The 25,809-nt window shown below is 38.9% G+C and overlaps 2 long non-coding RNA genes across 5 annotated transcripts in view; one reads left to right on the forward strand and one right to left on the reverse strand.

The window, feature by feature from the left end:
* Nucleotides 1-25,809, forward strand: part of LOC102724861 (uncharacterized) — a 168,179-nt gene that overhangs the window by 45,565 nt on the left and 96,805 nt on the right. The window lies entirely within an intron of this gene.
* Nucleotides 19,791-25,809, reverse strand: part of LINC00607 (long intergenic non-protein coding RNA 607) — a 231,974-nt gene continuing 225,955 nt past the window's right edge. Inside the window, exons 9-10 of the long non-coding RNA NR_037195.1 lie at nucleotides 23,505-23,862; nucleotides 19,791-21,966 (exon numbers count right to left, since the gene is read on the reverse strand). This is a non-coding gene — a long non-coding RNA (long intergenic non-protein coding RNA 607). The remainder of the gene's footprint in view (nucleotides 21,967-23,504; nucleotides 23,863-25,809) is intronic.

The following is a 25,809-nucleotide window of genomic DNA, read 5'->3' on the forward strand; positions in this document are numbered from 1 at the left end:
TAGAACATTTCTATCATTCATAAAAGAAACTTTGTACCCATTTAATAGTCATATCCTATTCTTCCTTCCCCATGAGCCCAGGAAACTACTAATCTACTTTCGTCTCTATAGATTTGGCTATTCTGGACATTTAAACTAAATAAAATTATAAAATATTAGGTGCAATTAGTAACTGCAACAACTGCAGTTACTTTTGCACCAACCTACTATGTGGTCTTTTGTGACTGGCTTTTTTTACTCAGAACACTATTTTCAAAGTTCATCCAAGTAGTAGCCTGTATCAGTGCTATCAATCAGTACCTTATTCTTTTTTTGCAATATACTTTGAAAAAAGTTTCTTTCCTTCTGTGTATTATCTTTTCACCTACTTGATAGGGCCCTTTGTAGCACAAAAGTTTTTAATTTTGACAAAGTTCAATTTTTTAAAAAAATTTCATCTGTTTTTGTATTTTTTTGTGTAAGTATTCATTGTTTAACCGAAAGTCACAAAGACTTATGCCTGTGTTTCCTTCTGATAATTTTATAGATTTAACTCTTACATTCGAGTCTCTGATCTATTTTGTGTTAATTTTTTTTGGGGGGGAGTGTGAGAGTGAAAATTCTATTCTTTTGCATGTGAATGTCCAGTTGTCTCAGCACCATTTATTGAAAAGACTATTCTTTCCCCATGAATTATCTTGCCACTCTTGTTGGAAATCAGTTGACCATTGAAACATATTTTGATCTAAGTAAATGGGAAACTTAAGGAACTCTAAGTCAACACTCAGGTGAGTTAGGAGCAAGGCAACTTTCTTGCCAGTTCTTCAAGTATCATTGAGGTTAAATGTAACCTGCACAACACAAAGTGAGGAGCTGTGCACCTGTGTCAGCCTGAAAGAGAGCTTTAAGACATTGTCTTTGACGCTATTCTGTTACATTTGAATGAGGACAAACGTTTACCAAACTTTCAGAGAATTCAAATCTCAAGACAGGTATTTAATACTCAATGTAATAGAGTTAAAATTCAAAATACTCTTCAGAGACCAGAAAACTAGATTGAAATAAACAAAATGAAGGCAGCCTGGGATAAATAGGAACACTTAGTTTCTAAAATTAATTACACAAGTATTGGGTATTGGAGGCTTGCCTAGATTTGGTGGTTGATAGTCACATGGTAATCTGCATTAGTTCCTCCATATGTTGGGGGTGACCTTTACATAGCCCCTGGAAGTCCCTTGATACCACCAGGTAATAATTTAGCAAGAAGCTTATGTAACTAATAGGTTTTTTACTATTACTCCTGGGCAAGGTATAACAAAGCCTAAGTGTTCCTAATAAGAAACAGAATATATATATATATATATATATAGTCATGCATTGTATAACAACATTTTGGTCAATGACAGACCACATGTATGACAGTGGTCCCATAAGATTGTAATGGAGCTGAAAAATTCTTATTGCCTAGTGATGCTGTAGCCATCATAATGTTGTAGTGAAAAACATTACTCATGTGATTGTCGTAATGCTGGTGTAAGCAAACCTACTATGCTACCAATCATATAAAAGTAGAGGACAGGGGGGCCAGGTGCGGTGTCTCATGCCTGTAATCCCAGCACTTTGGGAGGCTGAGGTGGGCAAATCACTTGAGGTCAGGAGTTGGAGACTAACCTGGCCAACATGGCAAAACCCCGTCTCTACTAAAAATACAAAAATTAGCCAGGTGTGGTGGCAGACGCCTGTAGTCCCAGCTCCTCAGAAGGTTGAGGCAGGAGAATTGCTTGAACCTGGGAAGCAGAGGTTGCAGTGAGCCAAGATGGCACCACTGTACTCCAATCTGGGTGACAGAGTGAGATTTTTGTCTCAAAAAAAAAAAAAAAAAAAGTATAGGTCCTACAATTATGTATAGTACATAATACTTGATAATGTTAATAAATAACTATGTTACTGGTTTATGGATTTACTATAGTATACTCTACTTTTTTATATTATTTTAAAGTATACCCTTTCTAGTTATATATTTTTTAAGTTAACTGTAAAACAACCTCAGACAGGTTCTTCCAGAAGCAGACATTTTTGTCATAGAAGATGACAGTTCTGGCCAGGTGCGGTGGCTCACACCTATAATCCCAGCACTTTGGGAGGCCAAGGTGGGTTGATAACCTGAGGTCAGGAGTTCAAGACCAGCTTGGCCAACATGGTGAAACCTTGTCTCTACTAAAAATACAAAAAAATTAACCAGGCGTGGTGGCTGGTGTCTGTAAACCCAGCTATTCGGGAGGCTGAGAGGCAGGAAAATCGCCTGAATCTGGGAGGTGGAGGTTGCAGTGAGCCAAGATCGTGCCATTGCACTCCAGCCTGGGTGACAGGAGCGAAACTATGTCTCAAAAAAAAAAAAAAAAAAAAGAAGAAGATAGATGACAGTTCCATGCATGTTATTGCCCCTGAAGACCTTCTGGTAAGACACAATATGGAAGTGGAATACAGTGATTTTTGATAATCCTGATCCTGTGTAGGCCTCGACTAATATATGTGTTTGTGCCTTAGTTTTTAATATAAAAGTTTTAAAAAGTAAAAATGAAAGCTTTTTTAAATAGAAAAGCTTGTAGAGACCAGACATGGTGGCTCATGCCTATAATCTCAACACCTGGGGAGGCCAAGGCAGGAGGATCACCTGAGGCCAGAAGTTCATGACCAGCCTGGGCAACACAACCAAACTCCATCTCTACAAAAAATTTAAAACTTAGCTGGGCATGGTGGTGCACACCCTTAGTCCCAGCTACTCGGGAGCTGAGGAGAGAGGATCACTTGAGCTCAAGATTACAGTGAGCTATGATCATGCCACCACACTCCAGCCTGGACAATGAAGTGAGACCGTGTCTCTCTAAAAAAATTTTTAAATTAAAAATTAAAAAGAGGGAAAAACGTATAGAATAAGGATATAAACAAAGAAAATATTTTCGTACAGCTATACAATGTGTTTGTGTTTTCAGCTAAATGTTATCACAAAAGACTCAAAAAGTTAAAAAAAATCTAAAAAGTTTATGAAGTAAAAAAGTTGTACTAAGCTAAGGTTAATTTATTATTGAAGAGATAAAACTATTTTTAATAAATTTACTATAGCCTAAGTGTAGAGTATTCATAAAGTCTATAGTAGTGTATAGTAACGTCCTAGGCCTTCACATTCACTCACCACCCACTCACTGACTCACCCAGAGCAACTTCCAGTTTTGGAAGCTCCATTCATGATACGTGCCTTACAAACAAGGACAACTATTTTAACTCATAAAGTTACAAAACAGGTAATATAAAAGGCTGTTATTAGAAATTACTATGGGGAAAAAATTTGTATTCTAAATAAGATTATAGAATAGCCAGAACATTCTTTTCATCTCTATCTAATAACTCCATCATTCCACCACAGTTACGTGGTAACTTTTTGAGAATCCAGGAGTGAAGTACTAGGGCCAAGGAAAAAACTCCCCCTTTACCCTCTGAAGGTTTGCTGGAAAATCAACTGACTAAAGGCAGACTGATAGGAGAAAAGCCATGTAAATATATTAACATGCACGGGGAGAACCGCAAAGTGATTATCCCAATCCCTCATTGGGGTACAAAAGCTTATATATCATCTTGAGGTTACAGAAATAATGAGGGCTCAGAGCATGGCCAAAATCAGGTTATCACGTTATGGTGGCAAGACAGGTTATAGGAGGGAGAGAAGAGGAGGCCTGGCTAGCAAAGGTGGTCTTGTTATGAGGGGACCCAAAAAGTTCATGAAAAATGTGTATTATGAAAACACTTTACATGGGTTTTAATCGTTTTTGCACCAAAGTAAACTCACACTAACTTGTTATAACATGTTCTGACTGAACAGGCTCTAGTTTGAGGCACTAAGAAGAATAAAGAATCAGTTTGAAAGGAACCCTTATTAGAGCAACATGAATTCTGCTAAAATTGAAGAAAGAACAAACAATGAATTCATGGTGATGCTTTAGTGGAAGAATGGTGAAATCATTGATTCTGTACAACAAATTTATAGAGATAATGCCCCTAAGAAATCAACAGTTTACAAATGGATAACTCATTTTAAAAAGGGATGAGATGATGTTGAAGATGAAGCCAAAAGTAGACCATCAACATCAATTTGCAAGGAAAAAATTAATCTTGTTTGTGCCCTAAGTGAAGAAAATTAATGTTGTTTGTGCTCTAAGTTTGTGTTGTGTTAACAACATAAACAACAGCCAATACCACAGACATCTCAGTTGACTCTGCTTACACAATTCTGACTTAAAAATTAAAGTTCAGCAAACTTTCCTCTCAGTGGGTGCCAAAACCATTACACCCAGATTAGCTGCAGACAAGAGCAGAGATTTCGATGAAAAAATATATATCTTTTGAGACTAAGTCTTGCTTTGTCACCCAGGCTGGAGTGCAGTGGTGTGATCTTGGCTTATTGTGGCCTCTGCCTCTGTGGTTCAAACTATTCTCCTGCCTCAGCCTCTCGAGTAGCTGGTACTACAGGTGTGCGACACCATGCCAGGTTAATTTCTGTAATTTTAGTAGAGACAGGGTTTCACCGTGTTGGCCAGGCTGGTCTCGAGCTCCCGACCTCAAGTGATCCACCCACCTCAGGCTCCCAAAGTGTGGGATTGCAGGCATGAGTCACCACACCTAGCCTTCAATGGAAATGTTAAACATGTGGGGTCAAGAACCTGAAGCATTTCTTCAAAGAATTGTAGCAGGAGATGGAAACGTCCTTACCAGGACCATCTAGAAGACAAAGCAGAAGCAAAGCAATGGCTACTAAAGTAGAAGTGGCCCAGTCAAAGCACAACTGGACTGGTCAAGGGCAAAGGCCATGGCAGTGGTCTTTTGGGATGCTCAAGGCAGTTTCCTTGTTGACTTTCTGGAGAGCCAAATAACAACAACATCTGCTTATTATGAGAGTGTTTGAGAAAATAAGGCAAAGCATTAGCAGAAAAATGCCTAGGAAAGCTTCACCAGAGAGTCCTTCTCCACAGTGATGCTCCTGCTTATTCCTCTCATCAAACAAGTGCATTTTTGTGAGAGTTTTGATGGAAATTATTAGGCATCCACCTTACAGTCCCAGTTTGGCTACTTCTGAGATCTTTTTGTTTCCTTATCTTAAAAGAATCTGCAAAGGGTGTCCAGTTTTCTTCAGTTAATGACAGAAAAAGGACTCCATTGACACGGTGAAATTCCCAGGATCTTCAGTTCTTTAGGAATGGACTAAATGGCTGGTATCATTGCTTGCAAGTGTCTTAACCTTGATGTGTCTTATGTTGAGTAAGAAAGTTTACACTTTTAATTTTTATCTTTGAAGTCCATTTTTCCAAGAACTTTTTGAAGTCTCTTCATATGTAGATGAAACCTCACAGACAGCAGCCTTTAGAGAGACTAGATGATAAATGTTTTTTTCAGACCTTCAAAGGTGTCGAACTCTCAGTTAATCTTTCCTAGATCTGGACAAGGGAAGCCCTCAGAGATAGCCTGGCTGCATCAATACAGATTCTTTACAGATGCAAATCAACCCCTCTGCCCTTCCTCCACACCCCTACAAAAGACAGCTTTGCAGGGCTACTTCTGTTTGCAGGCGCTCTGAACAGCCATCTTGAAATAAGTAAAGAAGTATATTTTGGGGTGAAATATTTGTACTTCCTTCAAGGTCTTGAGCATTGCCCTCTGTCTTGTGGCCCTATCACTAGTCACAGGGATCTAAAACTAATTGAATTGTTGAAGAACCTACATTTTTAGACATAAGGTCCAGATTTGGTGTAGTTAACTCTGACATTACCTCTAATAAGATACGAAAGGAAAATACAGCCTTGAGCATCCCCTGCCTCTTGTATCCTTTGGCTTAGCTAGAATACAGTGTTCAATTCTGAGTGTGAAGGCATCAAGGTAATACTAACAAATTAGAGAACATTCAAGGGAAGGCAAAAGAGACTGTGAAATAGGAAGCATGTCAGATGAGTAATGTTTGAATAACATTTGGAGAAGCAAAGACTAAAGATGTGATAAACATATTCAAATATTAGAGTAGCTATTATGTTTTACAGAAGTATATGTAAATTTTTGCTTTCGGATTTCATACATCAATACTATGAACAATGGATATGTATATTTTTACTCAGACTAGTGAAGAGCATTCTAACAACTACAACTGTACGGCCAAGAAAGGGCTGCCTTGTGAGGGATGAACATGATTTCTGACCCCTCTGAAGGAAAAATTGTATGTTCACCTATTGGGATACTATAAAAGAGATAGAAGAGATGACAGGGCAAGACCCCTCTCAAATATAAATGTCTATAATTCTCTCTATCCATTATTGCCATAAAGCTATGGGCATTTGGCTGTAAACATAGGTTTTCTTCCCAATAACTCAAGGGACCTAATGACACCATTATACTCTGCTCTACCCTGGGATATTCAGCTGGGTATTCCTTTTCTCAGTCAGCCAGAGCCCATATTATATATGGCTTCTCTCCACAATGGTATCAAAGCTTATTTATCTTTCCCCAACCCTGTTTTTAAAATTAGAACATCTGGTCTTTGGTTTTGTATTACATTCATTGGAGAAGTCCATTCCATTTTATTTAAAATTTGAGCAGCCTGGATTTGGGTTCACATTTAGTGAAACTTGCACCCTTTGTTCTTTCCATTTATAAGGTTCTTTCCCATGACCACTCGTTGGAAGCCTTGTGGTCAGTTACAAACACTAGTTTTGCCCCTGAGTCATGTTGTTAAATTCTCCACCCCAGCTCTCACTTCAGTGGTGTAGCTGGGAGGACATAGGTCTCTGAGAGGATCTATCTTCTGGTGGGTGGACAGAAGTTAGGTAAGATAAACATGAGCTTCTTCCTAAAATGTGTTACTGGAAGAGAGTAAAATGCCGCCGTAGAACATCTGTTTTTAAAGTATATCCCAATTAGTCTAGACCAACAATGCCAAATCTGGTAGTACTGCTTAACTCAAAACACTAATATTCAAATATGACTAATCTCATGCATGTCTTGACTGTGAGCAGAGTATAAAAACTACATCTCTTCTTTTTGATCCTTGGGCTTCTTTTAATCTACAAGGAAATCTCTGATCTTAGAGTTCAAGTGGTGGCCTACACACACACACAAACACACACACACACACACACAAATACTTCTGACAATTCAGTAACAGCATGCCTTTTTTGGTGATTGTTGTAAAATTTGAGATGTCAGCTTTGTATATTGATAAATTATAAAATAACTTTTCTAGTCTTTTCCTTCTTAAACATTCTTCTCTCTTAAACATACTACACAAAATACCAGTTACAGATAAATGGCCAGAAAGAGGAAACTCTTACTATTTTTTTCAGTGCTGTCATCATGAAAATATAATGAAATGTGTTGTATTTCTGATGGAGGAATCAAAGCCACATATCGGTACATGTAGTTCAAATGATTCAACTCAAAGGGGAATGCTAGTTTGCCACCTTTCTCCCTTCTTCCACTAAAAAAGCATTGAGTTAAGAGACATTTTTACATCTTGCGGCTGATGAAAGAAGGAAAATTGGCATATCCTAGGCAATTAATTTCTAAAGGCAGGTGAAAGTTTAGATAAAAGACCCAAATGACTTCTTCCTTCAATCTGAAAATAGTTCTCAGAAATATTTATAATTCATTAGACATGAGCCAGTGAGGAGATAATAGCTTTGAAATATGGGAGTGTAAATATGCATCATCAGTGTAATAGTTCCCCTAAAAGAGGAAAATAATTTTTAAAAGTCTTGGGGAAATCAGCAGAGTGAGGTGCAAAGGAGACTTGAATTCTGATCCTGCCTAGCTCTGTGAGGTGGAACAGGGGACTGAACCCCACTGAACCTGTTTCTTCACCTGTAAAACAGACATTCTAAGTGTCACAGCATAGAATTATTGAGAATATTTAATAAATTAACATCTATAAGTTGATTGGCTTAATATTTAGACTCCCTACCTTTAGCAAACAGAAATAGATCTTTGATAAAAATTTAAATAAATTGGAATTTAATATCTTATTTTTAAACTTTTTTATGATTGAATGTATCTTTTTAAAGATACATCGTGTGTTTGTGGTTCAAAACGAAGATAATATTGGATGGTGTTTTTGTGTGTAAGTATTTACAGATATTCACATATGATCATACACACATAATTTTCATTAATAAATAGAAAAATAGTACCACTCAATAACTACTAAAGGCCTACCCACGAATGACTTAATATTCCTTAATGATCACATCACATACTTGATGAGTTTGGACTGTGAAGTGTAAAATTTTATACCATAATATCTTCAGCCCCACTGAAAACACAGATAGCTCGCATCCTGCATCATGTGGTAGACAGCCTTCTCAGGCAGCTAACCCAAAATGGAGGCCATTGGCACTTCCGCAGGGTAGCAATTAGGAAGCCTCACTTTGCCGACAGGGATCACTGCTGGGTGAGTTTTGATTTTAAGTAATGCCAAACTAGGCCATCTACTCTAAAAAGCTATAACTAGTTATAGCTTTGTAGAAAATGTTGGAATCAAACAGAGCTGGTTTAGGAGCCTTGAGGTATTACTAGTTACTCAGTCTTGAGGATACTGCTTTATTTATCTGAGCTTCCATTCCCTACTTGTGGTGGTTAATTTTACTTGTCAGCTTGACTGGGCTAAGGCATACCCAGAGAGCTGGTAAAGCATTATTTCTGGGTGTATCTGTGAGGGTGTTTCTGGGAGAGACTGGCATTTGAGTCAGTGGCTTGAGTAAGAAAGACCTGCCCTCACCCAATGTGGATAAGTACTATTCGATTCATTGAGGGCTCAGATAAAACAAAAAGGCAGAGAAAAGGTGAATTCTCTCTTTCTTCTGGAACTGGAATACCCATCTTCTCTTGCCCTTGGACATCAGGACTCCAGGTTCTCTGACCTTTGTACTCTGGGACAGCAGTTCACCCAGATTCTCAGGCCTTTGGCCCCAGACTAAGAGTTATAACATCAGTTCCCCTGGTTCTTAGGTCTTCAGGCTTAGATGGAGCTCTGCTACTGGCTCTCCTGGTTCGCCAGTGTGCAGATGGCATATCATAGGACTTCTCAGTCTCCATAATTACATGAGCCAATTTCCATAATAAATCCCTTCTAGTCTATCTATCTATCTATCTATCTATCTATCTATCTATCTATCTATCATCTATCTATCTATCTACCTATTTGTCATCTCCTATTGGTTCTTTTTCTCTGGAGAACACTGACTAATACACCAATCTATCAATAAGTGCCAGACTACTTGCCGAAAATAAAAATTGTGTTTCATCTTGTAACAATTCTCTCTTTGCTATTTTTACTAAAACTGAACAGGTCTTCTTTAGGCTCCTTAAATATACTGAGCTCTTTTCCACCTCAGGACATTTGCAAACCTTCACCGTCAAGCTGGGAAAGCTCTTCCCCTCTCACCCATGGGCTTCATGAGGACTTCCTTATCTTTTGAATCAACTTAACCATTACCTTTTGAGAGGGGATCTTACTAACCTCTCCTATTATTTTCTGTCTTATAACACTTGTCACAGTTTATAATAGTTTCCTTTGGTTTCATTGTAATTTGCACATCCAAATTCCTGAAATGTGGGTTTATTGAGGGGCTCTAGCTGTCTTGCCCATCACCATATTCTGAGTGTTTAGACAGTGCCTGTCTAGTTTTAACAGAAAGTGTTGAATGGATAAATTGGCATTCACAGGGTTGTTGTACAGCTTAAATAAGATCATTTATGACATATTCTAAGTTCTTGATAAAGAAAATCTTTTCAAAAATTATTTTTAGGGGGAGAATTGGTATAAGGGACATCTAGCTCAATATGATAAAATAGCTGTTCTTGGGTTGCAAAAGCGAAGTATAGTAGGTCCACCACCTGCATAGAGCCAGAGTTATTTCTGACTCACTAATGGGCCAGCTAACAGAGAAAAATCCCCTCAAACAGACAAGGTGTTGCCCATTTGAAGATATTTCCAGATGTAGAAGCACTAGCAGCCCATTTTCAAAGCTTTCATTTCCTAAAGAGCAGCCAGGACAAGGGGATAAAATGAGCATGTACGCAAAGGTAACATTTTCTTCACCAAACTCTGGGGATGGCAAAGTCGTAATTACAAATCTTGTTGTGCACCCCTTACAGAGGTTTGAGATTGGTGGGCTGTTCATCCTCCTTTTTATTAGTGCCAAAAAAGCTGTTTGAATGGGACTAGTCTGTATTTTAAATTCAAACTACCATAATTTAACACCCATTGGAAAAATGTAGTTAAGCAATTAAGGGATATTTCTACTGTTTTTTTCCAGTTGATGACTCAAATCCAGGTCTCTTTAAATAAATCCAAGCAGACTATGAGAGGAAGGAAGGTTCTACAGATGCCTCCTTAAAATCGGAAATATTCCAATAAAAACCAATGATCTAACTACAAACTACTGCCAATTCTGTGTCACTGAGTCATCTTCCATTGGGAAGTGTTTGGATTTCATTAAGCTTTTAAGAATCGCAGGCTGATTTATTATTTTCTTTTTTATTTTCTTAGTGGGTTGTCATGAAACTTCACTTCATTAATATGAAGAATAAAGAACTAAATAAGCTATAATTTCCTGGAAGAGTACAGTAATGATGATAATAATAATTACTGAAGGCTCTCATATTTATTTATATCAACTGAACTCCAAGATGGTACCAAAATTATCCTGCAGAATGTTTAATCACTTTCTTCCTACTTCAACTTCTGATGTCTGCTCTCATTCTGATTTCCTGCAGCTTTTTTTTTTTTTTTCCTGTTATACTCAACCCACATCCAACATCTAGGCTCAGCCTCCCTTCTAACACTGTTCAAATCATTAGTTTATTTCCATTTTTTGGATGGGATTTTTCTGATCACTTTCTTATTGTGCAATTTGTAAGGATACCATTATAAAAATCACAAGTAAATTCTGAGAGTGGATTAAATAAAAGTACATAAAGAAAATAAAATAAAGTTCCTTATTTCAGGATGATGATCAAAGTGGAAAGTTTTAAGTACTACTTGAGTTTTTATGTTTTCTCTAATTAGGAAAGTCATTTTCTCTAAATGTCTTCAACTAATCTCTGCTACTGGTTCTCTAAATGGCCATGTGCCAATATCAGTACATACCTACTTTCTCAGTGACAAAAGATGCTAACTTAAATTTTTATACAATTTTGAGAAAATCCTCTGTAAAGTCCCTTTACCCAATAAATAAAGACCTCCAAGGGAAGCTGGCTGTGCCCCATAATCTAAACAGCCTAATTAATTACAACCTCATGTCTTAGGAGTTGAAAAACTTACATTATGTTTTGTTGTTTTTTTTTTTTTGGTGTGCAACAGTATTACACATACTAGAAAGATTACTGCAGAGAATATGGAATGCATAAATGAATGGAGCTTTCAATCCTTCATCAGCGAGGGCAACGTGATTCAGATGAATGTTTAAGCTACTATTTTTCAAATGTTTTTAAAAGCATGACCCAAAGTAAGAAATACATGTAATGTAGACCCCAACACATCCAGGCACACACATCTTGGCTGAAACGAAGGTTTTGTGAAATAATACCCTCACTGGATGTGAAATGTGAGTGTGCTTGTTGAGTTCAAGGAAAAACAAGGGGTCAGTGTGGTTGAAACATCAGGAGGGAAAGTGGTAGGTGGTGAAGTCAGAGGCATGAGGAGCCCAGGTCATGGACGGTCTTGTAGGCCATCATGAGGTTTTTAGCTACTATTCCAGGTGTGGAATGGGCAGCTTCTGCAGGGTTTTTAGCTGAAGAGTCACACAGTATGACATGGTTTCAACAGGATCATCCTAGCTGCTATGTACTGAGCAAACTGTAGGGGACTATGTAGTATGGAAGCCAGTAGAGCCGTTAGGAGGCTACTGTAATGAATAACACAGGTGAGAAATGACGGTCGTGGGGCCAGGACAATAGTGGTGAAAGAGATTTTTTTTAAACCCGGTCAGTTTCCTGATATATTGAGAAAGTAGAAACGCTTTGAGCGATCAGATGTGTGATATCAGAGAGGCATAGAAGTTAAGGATGGCTCCCAAGTTTGACCTGAGCCACTTGAAAGATGGGACACTATTTACCAGGACTAGGAAGATAAAGGAGAGGCATATTTAGAGGAAGAAAAGAGTTTAAGATTGAGCTGCCTATCAGATATCCAAGTAAAGATGTCTGGCTGGAGGTCAGAAATGCTAGTCTCAGATTCATGAGAGAGGACCTGGCTCGTGCATACATTTGGGAGTTATCAAAGTATGCCAAAATTTAAAGAATCAGGACTAGAAACTTCCAATCACCAAAGGAGTCAGCATCACTAAAAGTTCTATCTCAGTTCTGAGTTCTCCTGAAAACAATCCTAATATAAGGTGTTGAATGACTTTAATTTAACTGAGTGGCGGGAAACACAGGTGAGGAAGAGGGGAAGTGAAACAAGGAAAGGAAGCAAACCAATAAAAGGAATACAGGGGGCATTGATAAACTGGTTACTACTTAGAGAAACTGGAGTTCAGTTCCACTGGGTACCCTCTGAGGAACTGTGTAGAGCACCCTGGAGAATTGTCCTGCCAAGAGATAAGAACTTTCAGTGTTTATCCACCAATTCCTAAATTCACCAGTTGAAGGATGCTCCTGAGGGTCTTAAGCAGCTGCTACTTTGAGGCTCCGAAGGAGCTGGAGGAAGCTTTTAGGCAGAGAAGCAGAGAAGTGGACCTGGGGACATGGGGCAGGGTATCAAAGTCTGAAGACTAAGCCTTGCTCTGTTGGGAGGTTCAGAACAGGAGGAGAATTAATCAAAGGAGACTAAGAAGGAGAGGCGGTTGCAGTAGGAGGAACACTAGAAGAGTGTGGTGGATGGAAGTCAAGAAAAGTAATTCCAGAAGGGAATGGCAGCAAGACTTCATCATTGGCTTTTGCATCAGAGAATTTGAGAACTGTTTCATTGAGTGGGCCAGGATTAAGGCCCAACAGAAGTGGGTTGAAGAGGAAAAGAGAAGTTGCAACAGCTGGTGTGGACAACTTATTGGAGGCGGTTGCTGTAAAGAGGAGTGGAGAATAGGGAAGGAGGCTAGAGGGGTTGAAGGATATTCTTACTGTGAAATTCATACTAGTGTGGAAAGAAAAATTGAGGGCAGATTGATGTGTTCAAGACTTCTGACATAATTTCAAGGGCATGTACCTTTTGGCTTGGCTGTGCCATAATAAATAAATCTACCTCTAGAGTCTGTGACTTAAAGGCCTTGCATGCATCTCACTAATTGCCTTCTCTTCCTCTAAACCTGGGCCTTCCCTCCCCTAAACCTAACTAATAGGATCAAAATCACATTTAATACTGCTATTAAAAATTTTATTTTCAAAAAAATGTCATTTGGCCAGGCGTGGTAGCTCACACCTATAATCCCAGCACTTTGGAAGGCTGAGGCAGGCAGATTATTTGAGGTCAGGAGTTCATGACCAGCCTGGCCAACATGGTGAAACCCTGTCTCTACTAAAAATATAAAAATTAGCTGGCATGGTGCTGCATTCCTATAATCCCAGCTACATGGGAGGCTGAGGCAATAGAGTAGCTTGAACCTGGGAGGTGGACATTAGAGTGAGCCAAGATCATGCCACTGCTCTCCAGCCTGGGTGACAGAGCAAGACTCTATCTCTAAGTAAATAAATAAAGTCATTTTAACATGTAATAACTCAAGAGTTTGAATAACAATGGTTGTACTTATAAACTGACTTAGCAAGTATTTTTCAGGATATAGTAAAATGACATAAGACCTTTCATATAGATTTTAAAACCACTGTGGGTGTGCACATGTGTTTATATGTGTGTGCAAAATGACAATTCCAAATACAGTTAAATAAATCCTAAATGAATAATCCATTTGTATTTCCTCCATGTTATTTTTTTTTACTGCTATGCTTTTTATCTCTATTAATCAGTTTTACCAATTAACCATCTCTGATCACTATGAAGTGGGTTACAAATAATTTGACATATCAGAAAGAAACTGCTCACAAGCCCTTGATGTTAAGATATATTGACGGTATGGGTGCTTACCTTGTAGGAAAAATGGAAAGTAGTGATATTACAGTCTAGAAGATTGTAAGAAAAATTGTTATGAGCTTGTGCAAAACATAAAAGGAGAAGCGTTGCTCAGAAGAAAAGCAAAGCCAAGGAACTCTTCATTCAAAACTTACATTTCATGTAGTTTTCCTTTAAAATGGCAATTCTCTTTTATACTGTTTTTGAATGAGGAACTTTTATAATGAAACTTAGAAGTGCCTAGGTTTTTATGAGAGACAATGTTTATGTCCTACTTTCAAATGCCATCATAAAGATTTTCATATATATGTACAGATAATGTTCAACACCAAGCATATGTCTAACATGGATCTAATAAGATGATTCAAGTTCACCTTGCAATATAAAGGGTCATAAAAGATGAGTTAATTTACTCTTCAGTTCGAAATCTAATGAAACTAGTTAAGTAGAAAAGATATAACACCAGAATTGAAGCTGTGGTTACACCACAAATGAATGCCTTCCAGCATAATGGTTACATTAAAAATTAAACATTAGCCAGCGTCCAGATGTTAGATATTAATATTGGGGTGGATGTGTGTGTGTGTGGGTGTGTGTTTGTGTGTGTGTGTGCATGCATGCATGCAAAAGTGTCCATGTAAAGCTACTTAAAATGGTATATAATAAGTAATAGGTGTGATGGTTAATATTTAGTGTCAACTTGAGTGGATTGAGGGATAGAAAATATTGATCCTGGTTGTGTCTGTGAGGGTGTTGCCAAAAGAGATTAACATTTGAGTCAGTGAGCTGGGGAAGGCAGAGCCACCCTTAATCTAGTGGGCACAATCTAATCAGCTGCCAGCAAATATAAAGCAGGCAGAAAAACATGAAAAGGAAAGACGGACTTAGCCTCCCCACCTACATCTTTCTCCCATGCTGAATGCTTCCTGCCATCAAACAACGGACTCCAGGTTCTTCAGTTTTGGGACTCAGACTGGCTCTCCTTTCTCCTCAGCTTGCAGACAGCCTGTTGTGGGACCTTGTGATTGTGTAAGTTAATACTTAATAAACTCCCACATATATGTGTGTGTGTGTGTGTGTGTGTATATATATATACACACACATATACACATACATATACATATATACACATATATACATATATACACATATATACATATATACACATATATGTGTGTGTATATATATATACATATAACCAGTTTCAGTCATATTCTGAGGTACTAGAGGTTAGGACTTCAACATATGAATTTTGGAGGAACACAACTCACCCATAACACTTGCCCTCCAAGGGTTTATATATATATATGTGTGTGTGTGTGTGTATGTGTATATGTGTATATATATGTGTATATATACACATACCCATATGTATATATATGTGTATATATACACATACCCATATGTATATATATGTGTTATATATATAACACATATATATAACACATATGGGAGTTTATATATATGTTATATATGGGAGTTATATAACACACACACACACACACACACACATATACATATATCCTATTTGTTCTGTCCCTCTAAGAGAACCCTAATACAATAGGCAAGTTCAGAAAGCAAATCACTACAAAGTTATACAAAATGGTGTATTAATTTAAAATCCAATTCTATTTTCTACTTTCCCTTAAAAATATGTTGGGAGTACTTTTCCCTTTGCAGGGAATAAACAGTCTCCTTTAGAAGTCTGCTTTACATTTCCCATCTTGTCTAGCTGTGGCTGGCCCAAGGACCAAGCAGGTAATATACACGCATGAGGGCAGCAGGCAGGCATGCTCATGCAGACATTGCATACGTGATGGAGAGAGGTAGAGCTCCTTGACTCTACCCATTTCAAGCAGGCAATTACTACTCAGCTCCAGGTGATTTTTTTCCGAGACAGAGGATGTAAGACATTTTCCAATTTTTAAAGAGAAGGATCGCTCCTCCCTCTGAATTTGGGTTATCATGTAAAATGCCTTAAACCTAAAATTTTGGCTCATTTTTTGAAGACATATTTCAGTCCAAACAAACCATATGTGGAGCAGATTTCACCCACAGGCAGCCAGTTTGCAAACTCTGCTCTTTGCAGACAATACAAAGGCAGCAGAGTAAGCTTTGAGCCAGATTTTACATTCCTTGTGAACTGCCACAGAGTTTTAGTGCAGAAAACATTTTTTTTTTTGTCAGCAGGGTTAGGAGAAAGGAATTTGAGGTTTATTAAATATTATACATGCAAAGGCCTGGGGAGGAACACAGGGAAATCTTCTGGAGTGCTGGAAATGTTCTAGATCTTGATGATCTGGGTCATGACACAACTGTATCTATACATAAAAAGTCTTTGAGTTGCAGACTTAAGATTTGTGTACTTCACACACTTTATGTCACATGCTCAAAGTATATGCACATATGTAAACATATGTTCAACATATGAATATATGCACACATATGCATGTATATATGTTCAAATATATATATTTAATATATATTTGATTCAAATATATTTAATATATATATTTGATTCAAATATATATATTTAATGTATATTTGAATCAAATATATATATTTAATGTATATTTGAATCAAATATATATATTTAATGTATATTTGAATCAAATATATATATTTAATGTATATTTGATTCAAATATATATATTTAATGTATATTTGAATCAAATATATATATTTAATGTATATTTGATTCAAATATATATATTTAATGTATATTTGATTCAAATATATATTTAATGTATATTTGAATCAAATATATATATTTAATGTATATTTGAATCAAATATATATATTTAATGTATATTTGAATCAAATATATATATTTAATGTATATTTGAATCAAATATATATATTTAATGTATATTTGAATCAAATATATATATTTAATGTATATTTGAATCAAATATATATATTTAATGTATATTTGAATCAAATATATATATTTAATGTATATTTGAATCAAATATATATATTTAATGTATATTTGAATCAAATATATATATTTAATGTATATTTGAATCAAATATATATATTTAATGTATATTTGAATCAAATATATATATTTAATGTATATTTGAATCAAATATATATATTTAATGTATATTTGAATCAAATATATATATTTAATGTATATTTGAATCAAATATATATATATCTTTGAATCAAATATATATATCTTTGATTCAAATATATATATATATTTGAAGAAACTACCAACTTTAAAACTGAGTGGCAACTTCGGTGTGGGAATAGATAAGACAATGACTTATTCTTTGGGGTGCACAGCTGAGTCAAAGCTAATCTAAGCAACGCCTGTGTCATATTCAGTGGAAACAAAAACAAAAGGTGAAAAGTAGTGCTATGTAGTTGTCTCTAGTATATTCCCAGGCCATTCACTGCTAGTCTACTCCTCCTTCAATCAAAGTGGAATTTCACTTACGACAAGTTTTAACTTATGCTCATGAGTCACGATGCACTACAGTATGATTAAGTGAAAGATAGACTTAGGAGACATTCCTTGAATGCTGGTAAAGAAGTTGTCTGACCCTCACACATGTCTACAAGAACCGGAGAACAGGAGAAGATTTGAGTGGGGTGAGATATCTAGGCCTGAGTATCCTTGTGAAGCATGCCGCTGTATCCTTGTGAAGCATGCTGTGGATGCTTCAGCCTCATCTGGGTGAGGATCCCTCTGGTGCATCAAGAAGCTTCTTTGTCATCCTCTTTCAGAGTGGAGGTGGGGTAGGGAGTGGATGGACACTGTGATCAGGTGCCTGTCTGCTCTAGGTGCAAGCCGTTGGAAATCAATCCTAGCACATTCCCAAGTAGCTGGGGTCTATAGTTGCAACTTGAATTCAGCCAACATTCATGAGCCTCTGTAGGGCATACAAAATGAGTGAGTGTAATCTTTGCTGTATTCATTTTCTAGGGCTCCCATAACAAAGTACCACAAACTGGGTGGCTTAGAACAGCAGAAATAGATTGTGTAACAGTTCTGAGGACCAGAAGTCCAAAATCCAGGTGTTGGCATGGCCATGCTGCCTCCGAAGGCACTAGGGAAGAATCTGTTCCAAACCACTCTCCTAGCTTCTGGTAGTCCCTTGGCTTGTGGCAGCATAACACCAAGCTTCATGCAGCATTCTCCCTGTGTGCCTGCATATGTTCAAACTCCCCTCCTTTATTTTTTTAAGGACACCTATCATATTAGATTTAGGACCCACTCTATTCCAGTATGACCTCATCTTAACTCAACTAATTATATCTGCAATGTGCCTATTTCCACTTTTTATTTTTTTTTTTTTTTTTTGAGATGGAGTCTCACTCTGTCACCTAGGCTGAAGTGCAAAGGCACGATCTCAGCTCACTGCAACCTCCACTTTCTGGGTTTAAGCGATTCTCCTGCCTCAGCCTTCTGAGTAGCTGTGATTACAGCTGCACACCACCACACCTGGCTAATTTTTTTTGTATTTTTAGTAGAGACAGGGTTTCGCCATGTTGGCCAGGCTAGTCTCAAACTCCTGACCTCAAGTGATTTACCCATCTCAGCCTCCCAAAGTGCTCTGGGGTTGCAGGTGTGAGCCATGACACCTGGCCTGCAATGACCCTATTTCCAAATAAGGTCATATTCTGAGGTACTAGAGGTTAGGACTTCAACATATGAATTTTGGAGGAACACAACTCACTCATAACACTTGCCCTCAAAGGGTTTATAATTGAGTTAGAGAGAGAGGCATATATGTCACTAGAGTCTGTTAAAAATTACTAGTTACTTTGATGAGTTCATACTAAAATTCCTTTTCATAGCATGGATTTTTCTGATGTTATCTACCTGCCAACTGTTAGTTGTACTTTTTGTCAGTGTGGTAATAAATAAATCTGGTTTATAGACACTTCAGTATTGCATTAATATTTCAACCATGACAAAAAGTTGAATAACAATACTATTATGAAGAATGTTATGTGCTTTTTTTATGACAAAAAAAATCAAAAAGCTTAAAAATGGATTCCATTCAAGTAAGAAAGAGGGGAATAAACGCTATATTGATGAAAACATTGCATTTCAATTTATCACAGTGAAGAAGGCAAAGCATGCACTTTACTTAAACTGTGTCTACATGACATGGTAGAGTGGGAATTCGGTGACTAGTTAAATAGCATCAGCTTAGACATCCATTTGGGTAACTCAAGCAGTAGGCAAACAGGGCAGATGTTTGAAAGAATTATCCAGACCATTAATTAAAGTACAGGTTTCAAAGAAGGGGACGTGGAAATTAGAGAGGTCAGTGAAGATGGTTTTGAGACTTTTCTTCCGCATTTTTCAGTTTAATAATGATTATCACAGAAATATAAACATCAGGAAAAGATTTCGATAAAGTTTAACACATAAAATAGAAAATTCCACGAGGAATTTTCTGCAGTGGAGGATTCGTATCATAGGAACATTGAAGGCAGATGCAAACGCCACCTGTGCCACTGTGAACATTAGGCCTATTCCTCAACTTCCTCCTATTATGGATGGCTTCCTACTAAGATGGAATTCAAATAATGCATCGTTCAAACATCCCTGCTTTGTGTTCTACAGAAAAAGCCTATTTGTTGCAAATTTTCTTGCAACTTGTGCTCAAATAGTAGTGTCATTAAAAATGGCTGATGGGGGGGGGGGCGCTGCTATCTCAGATATTTCATCCTAAAGTATCAAAGCAAAGTTGTTTTTCAAACTCTTTATTTGTCCATATTGTTATTTTCTCTTACATGTGCTACTTCAAAACAAATACCAATCTGCTGATGACAGTCCCTTGCTGAAAATGCTTCAGTGGCTCTCCATGGCCCTTAAAGTCAAGTACAAAGTCTACAAGCGGAAAAGTGATCTGCAAAGCCCTTCAGGATCTGACCCCAGGTCACTTGTCTAGTCAAGGGATGGCTATTTTTTGTTGTTTTGCTTTTCAGTTCCTCAAATATTCAAAGCTTTCTTTTGCCTCTGAGCATTTGTTCCTACTGTTCCTTCTGCTTCTGTATCTCTTCATCTTGGTCCGATTAGCCCTTACTCATATCCTTCCAGTTTCAGTCTAAATGTCACTCGTTCCAGAAACCACTACTGACCCCCCCAAGTCTATGTCATGCACCCTTTCTTCTTGGCATCTGACACTTCTTGGCATCTGACACTTGGCGAAACTTCCCTGTTTTGCAGCTTTTACCCACTTTGCCATAGCTGCCTGTTTACTTGTGTGTATTCTTTCAAATACTCTGATTTTTCCAGAGGGCAGGCAGTGACTCTTCTTCAATATTGTATTCTCAACGCCCGGTGGACAATGTTGGTACTAGACAGTGTTTTGAACAAATGAATAAATGAAGGAGAGAAGAAATGAATTCTCAGTGATATTTCTGTAAGATAAGCAACCGCTATTATTTATATTACACATTTCAAATAATCTTTTCAAAAACAAGTATAACTCATCTATGGTAATGGAAATCAAAATAGTGGTTACCTTTGGAGGTACTGATGAGGAAAAGGCACAAGGGAATTTTCAGGGGAGCAGAAAATTATCCGCATCTTACTCTGGGTGTTGGTTTCATAGGCATGTGCAGACATAAAAGTTCAATGAGCTGCGTACCTACAATTTGTACCCTTTGTTGCATACGTTAACATAAAATAAGTAAAAAAAAAAGTTATAACTACCTTTATCTCACTCTAATACTAAAGATACATTTTACCATTTGTTAGCTCAAAGAAATCTGAGATCTGGTTTTAAAAGCAACCTTGTAGTTCTGTTTAAGATTCTACAATTTAATAAAATTATCTAAAACCTCCAAGCACTTAGAGTGGGCCCATGCAGGGCCTTTTCTTCTACCTTTATAGCCCAGAGAAATTCCAAACCAGAAAAGGGGCTGGGTTTGATCTTGTCTGAGCATCTTGCGGGAATCAGTTTCCTTTCAGGCCCTCCAATAATGTGAAATTCTCTTCCTCCTGTTTTTAACCCCATAAGCACCAAGCGAACTGCACTTCCAAAGCTTGCCTGAAATGAGTTTTAGCAAACCCATGAACCCTGTTGATCAATAGTCACCCTAAACTGAACCCACTTCCAATAGTGACCAAAGAATTCTTCTGACCAACAACGGAATTCCCCCATTCTCAGACTGACTTCTTCAAGGAGACTTCAATGAACTAAGCAGAATTCTTGTGCAATGAAGCCATCATTCCAGCAGATCAGCATTTAGAATTGCTTCAAGAACCTATTCCATATTTCAAGAGAGATGGAGTTAGCTTTCCTCTTATAAAATGAATTTCATGTGTATGCTTGCTTATAGAATTCTTGAGTTATCTTTATTTATAGTTATTTTTACTCCTCATACAACTGTGGAATGATATTGGGGCTCCAGTGATGAGGACATGCAGGGGTTACCGGGCCCCAGGACAGGAAGCATTCTGGCAGTGGCTCTGTCCTCAAAATGATACTGTGCTGCAGCGGCTTGGGTCCCAGGGACTAAGGAGGGACCCAGTGGCCTCTCTGGAGTAATGTAGTCACAGAGACTCCAGGCAGCTCCCGCACTGGGCTCAACACTGCGAGGCTCTCCTACAGCTAGGCTTGCAGGCATTTGTGGTGGGAATGTTGCCTGCAGGGCATCTCCTGCTTACATTTCCTACTCAAGGCGGGGCGCCCTTGACTGTGAGCTGATCCTGACCGGCTGCTTTGCTTTCCTCTTTGTGCTGCCATCCCGAGTTTCTGCACCTCAGAGGGTCTTTGTAACGTTTTTGCTGAGCTTCAGTGCTCTCCTTTAGACATTTTATTTGGCATGTGATTGTCTACTTGTTCTTTTGGTCCTTCTTTGTGGAGGAGGCAAATGCTGGGCAGCTATAGCAAGCTTTCTGGACGACCAAGATTCTTCTAACCTTTGAAAAACCAAGACATGTCAGAATAATGCAAGTTATCTGTTTTTATAAACATACCACACACACACACACACACACACACACACACACACACACACACACGACAGGGTCAGTACTAGACAATGTAGGTGTGTAAAAAAGTACTCCAGGCTGGGTGTGGTGGCTGATACCTATAGTCCCAGCACTTTGAAAGGCCAAGGTGAGAGAATTGCTTTGAGCCCAGGAGCTCACCACCAGCCTGGGTGATGTGGCAAGACCCCATCTCTACAAAAAATTAAAAAATTAGCCAGATGTGTTGGCACATGCCTGTGGTCCCAACTGTTCGGGAGGCCAAAAAGGGAGAATCGCTTGAGCCCAGGCGGTTGAGACTGCAGTGAGCCGTACTCACACGCCTGCACTCCAGCCTGAGAGACAGAGCAAGATCCTATCTCAAAAAAGAAAAAAAAAAAAGTTACTCCAAAACTTACCGACTTACAACAACAACAATATTTATGTTGTCCACCAATCTGCAATTTGGGCAGGGCTTAGCAGAGAAAGGGAATATAAGGATGCTTGTGAAAACATTTTAAATGCAATATTTATATAAAGTACGGTAATTATATTGCACTTTTGCGATAGTAATGATTTTCCCCTTTTTCTATCACCGCCTCCCCTCCTCCATTCAAGCACGTAGCCCAGTTCTGTGTTTATAATGGCAGGAGAAGAGCATTATGAGACTGGGCAGGAAACAGATCGCAGAGGAGTCACTAGCTTTTGTGTTTTCACCTGCGTGAATCCTTTCAAGAGCTCAGGCCAGATGCCTGGGATGCAAACATCACTGATTGAGGGATTTCCTCTGAGGAAAAACATCAAGAATCCCGCCTCCAAGTGTCAGTCAGATCTCTTGAGGAAATTCTAAATCTCACTAGGTATTTCAATAGAGTGGGTTTAATTTTGGAAATTGGCTCTCTAGGTGTTGGAGGGCTAAAAGAGCAAAAGTAGGCTTTGAGGGAATAATCTGGAGGAAATAACAGGCAGCTTCCAACTGGATGGCTCATGGGGAGGGACAGCAATGGGGAGAAAGTGGGGCTTAGTAGACCCTAGAAGCTCCAGCAGAGGACCTCGTGGAGGTAGTGCTCCTGCCGCCTCCCCAGCCGTGGATGGCTCTTCTCTTCTGAGGGACCCTGATGTAGCAGGTGCTAGTGTCAGAGGCGTTTGAATCAGAACAACTCCATCTTGAGTAGGGGCTGGGTAAAATGAGGCTGAGACCTACTGGGCTGCATTCCCTGACAGTTCAAGCCCTGCCCCGCGGGGAGGCGGCTGAAGCCTGGAGAGAATTCGAGAGCAGCGTGGGCGGGCCGGCAGTGCCGGGGGACCCACCGCACCTTCCGCAGCTGCTGGCCTGGGTGCTAAGCCCCTCACTGCCCGGGGCCGGCGGCGACGGCTGACTGCTCAGAGTGCGGGGCCTGCCAAGCCCACGCCCACCCGGAACTTGCGCTGGCCAGCGAGCGCAGCAGGCAGTCCCGGTTCCTGCCCGCGCCTCTCCCTCCTCACCTCCCCACAAGCAGAGGGAGCTGGCTCCGGCCTCAGCCAGCCCAGAGAGGGGCTCCCACAGTGCAGCCGCGGGCTGAAGGGCTCCTCAAGCGCAGCCAGAGTGGACGCCGAGGCCCAGGAGGCGCCAAGAGTAAGTGAGGGCTGCTAGCGCGTTGTCACCTCTCACTGGGACTGCTGGAAAACACTGAGGCAGAAGTCCGAAGGCACTGCTGCTGGTGGAACAAATTGGCAGTCTTGGGCAACACTGACAGGACTGGCAGTAATCGGGAAGGAAGCCACTTTTCCCTTCCTTCTGCCTTCCATCCTCTTCTGCTGCATCCAGCTGCAGAATTAGCAGAAAGTCAGCCAGCAAAGGAGCCTGGAAAATAGTTTCCAGAATCTCAGTCCCAGAATCACAGAGCACGGCACAGAAAGGGTGGATGTGGAGCAGAAAGGTAATAGGTAGATAACTTGCATGTTCATGTACTTGGAAAAAAAAAGGTACCACTGGATTTAGGACAGAAGAAATTGGGAGTTCCTCAATAAGAGAGCTATAGTTTGCTTGGTCCTGTGACCTTGTTTCCTAGGCAGAGGCTTAGGAACTAAAGAAAAAAATGCAAACAGGAAGAAGAAACTTTGCAGATACATTTGTAAATGATTGTTCAAGGATGGAGTACACTCCTTCCCGTGCCTTGGTCCTCCATTACCCCAGCCCCTGTCAATTTAGACAAACCTCCAGAAAGAAGGAACTTGGCTGACATTGACCAAGATTAAATTTCAGTTCCCAGGCAAAGTGAGGTCTTAAAATAGAAACTAATCTATATGGGGCATGGTGGCTCATGCCTGTAATCCCAGCACTTTCGGAGGTCAAGGAGGGAGGATCACTTGAGACCACGAGTTTGAGACCAGTCTGAGGAACATAATGAGACCCTGTCCCTACAAAAATAAAAATTAAAAAATTGGCCTGGCATGGCAGCATGGACCTGTAGTCCTAGCTACACAGGAGGCTGGGACAAGAGGATTGTTTAAACCCAGAAGTTTGAGGCTGCAGTGAGCTGTGATCATGCCACTGTGCTCTAGCCTGGGCGACAGAGGAAGACCCTGTCTCTAAAAAAGGGGGGAAGAAAAAGAAGAAAGAAATCAGCTTGAGCCTTAAAAAATGAAGGAAATTAATATTTCAAGTATGTCTGAATTTGTGGACCGATAGTTATACCCTTTGCAGTATATTTTTTAATTGTATAAAAAAACTGCAGAGACAGGGAAAATGCTGGGAGGACAACACAAAATGCTTGCAATTATTATTTCTAGAGGCTAAAATTATGGCTGATTCTTTTTTTTTTTATACCTTTCATTATTTCCCTAATTATCTACAATAAATGTATCGTTTTTACAATAACAATTATTTTCAAGAGCCTGTTAATGTAAATGTTATACTGTGATTTACTATTATATCATGTCTCAAAAACATATCTGAATTGGCCTGATAAAAAGCCTAAATTTCCCTTTTTAATTTTCTTATTTTTTAAGGAAGATTAGAAGCCAGCAAGTCCTGTGAATTTCATTTCTCATTGCATTCTCCTAAACCTCGTGCACCTTCTGATTAAAAGGAAGGGTGTAGTCTTCATCTTGAATTTCATTTTGACAAAAAAAATTAGTTTCAATCATTTTTCTTTATAAATATTTGTAAACTCTTTCCTCTGTGCATTGGTGCCAGAGTCTGGCTCTATTACGGTCATCCACAATTGATCTTGAAAATATGGCAGAAATGGTATGCTGGAAGCCTTGGAGAATATGTTTTAAAAGTTCAGACCAAGTTCTGTTTTAGTCAGTAAAACAGGGGCCATGGGACAAGATCTGGGAGATAAAGATGATTAGAGGAAAGAAACAGGAAAAAAACAGGAAGAGAAAAAACTGAAATCGTTTAACTTTGCAAGAGGCTTGACTTCCAGGACAAACAAGGACTTGGGAATTTCAAATTTGCACCTGCCTTTAGGCATTATGCGTTGAAATCCATTGTCAATACCCTGTTATTAGTCCAAGAGATTTCTACAGATAGCAAGATGCCTGGAATTCCAAAAGGAAGAAGTTACATTCAAAGAAGCATTTTATTGGCATCTGTAAACAGGCCAACACCTGTTAGAAGAAAGTCAAAACACAGATGAAAAAGAACCAATGCAAACATTCCAGACAGACATCAATATTGCCCACTCCATAAGATATTCCTCATGTTGGACTGCACTTTCCACACTCTGATGTTTAGGATTGGCCATGACTTGGTTCATGAAGTGTGAATGGAACAGGTCTGTGTCCCTTCCCACTTCTGAGA

Source organism: Homo sapiens, chromosome 2, assembly GCF_000001405.40.
Source record: "Homo sapiens chromosome 2, GRCh38.p14 Primary Assembly".
NCBI classification, from domain to species: Eukaryota; Metazoa; Chordata; class Mammalia; order Primates; family Hominidae; genus Homo; species Homo sapiens.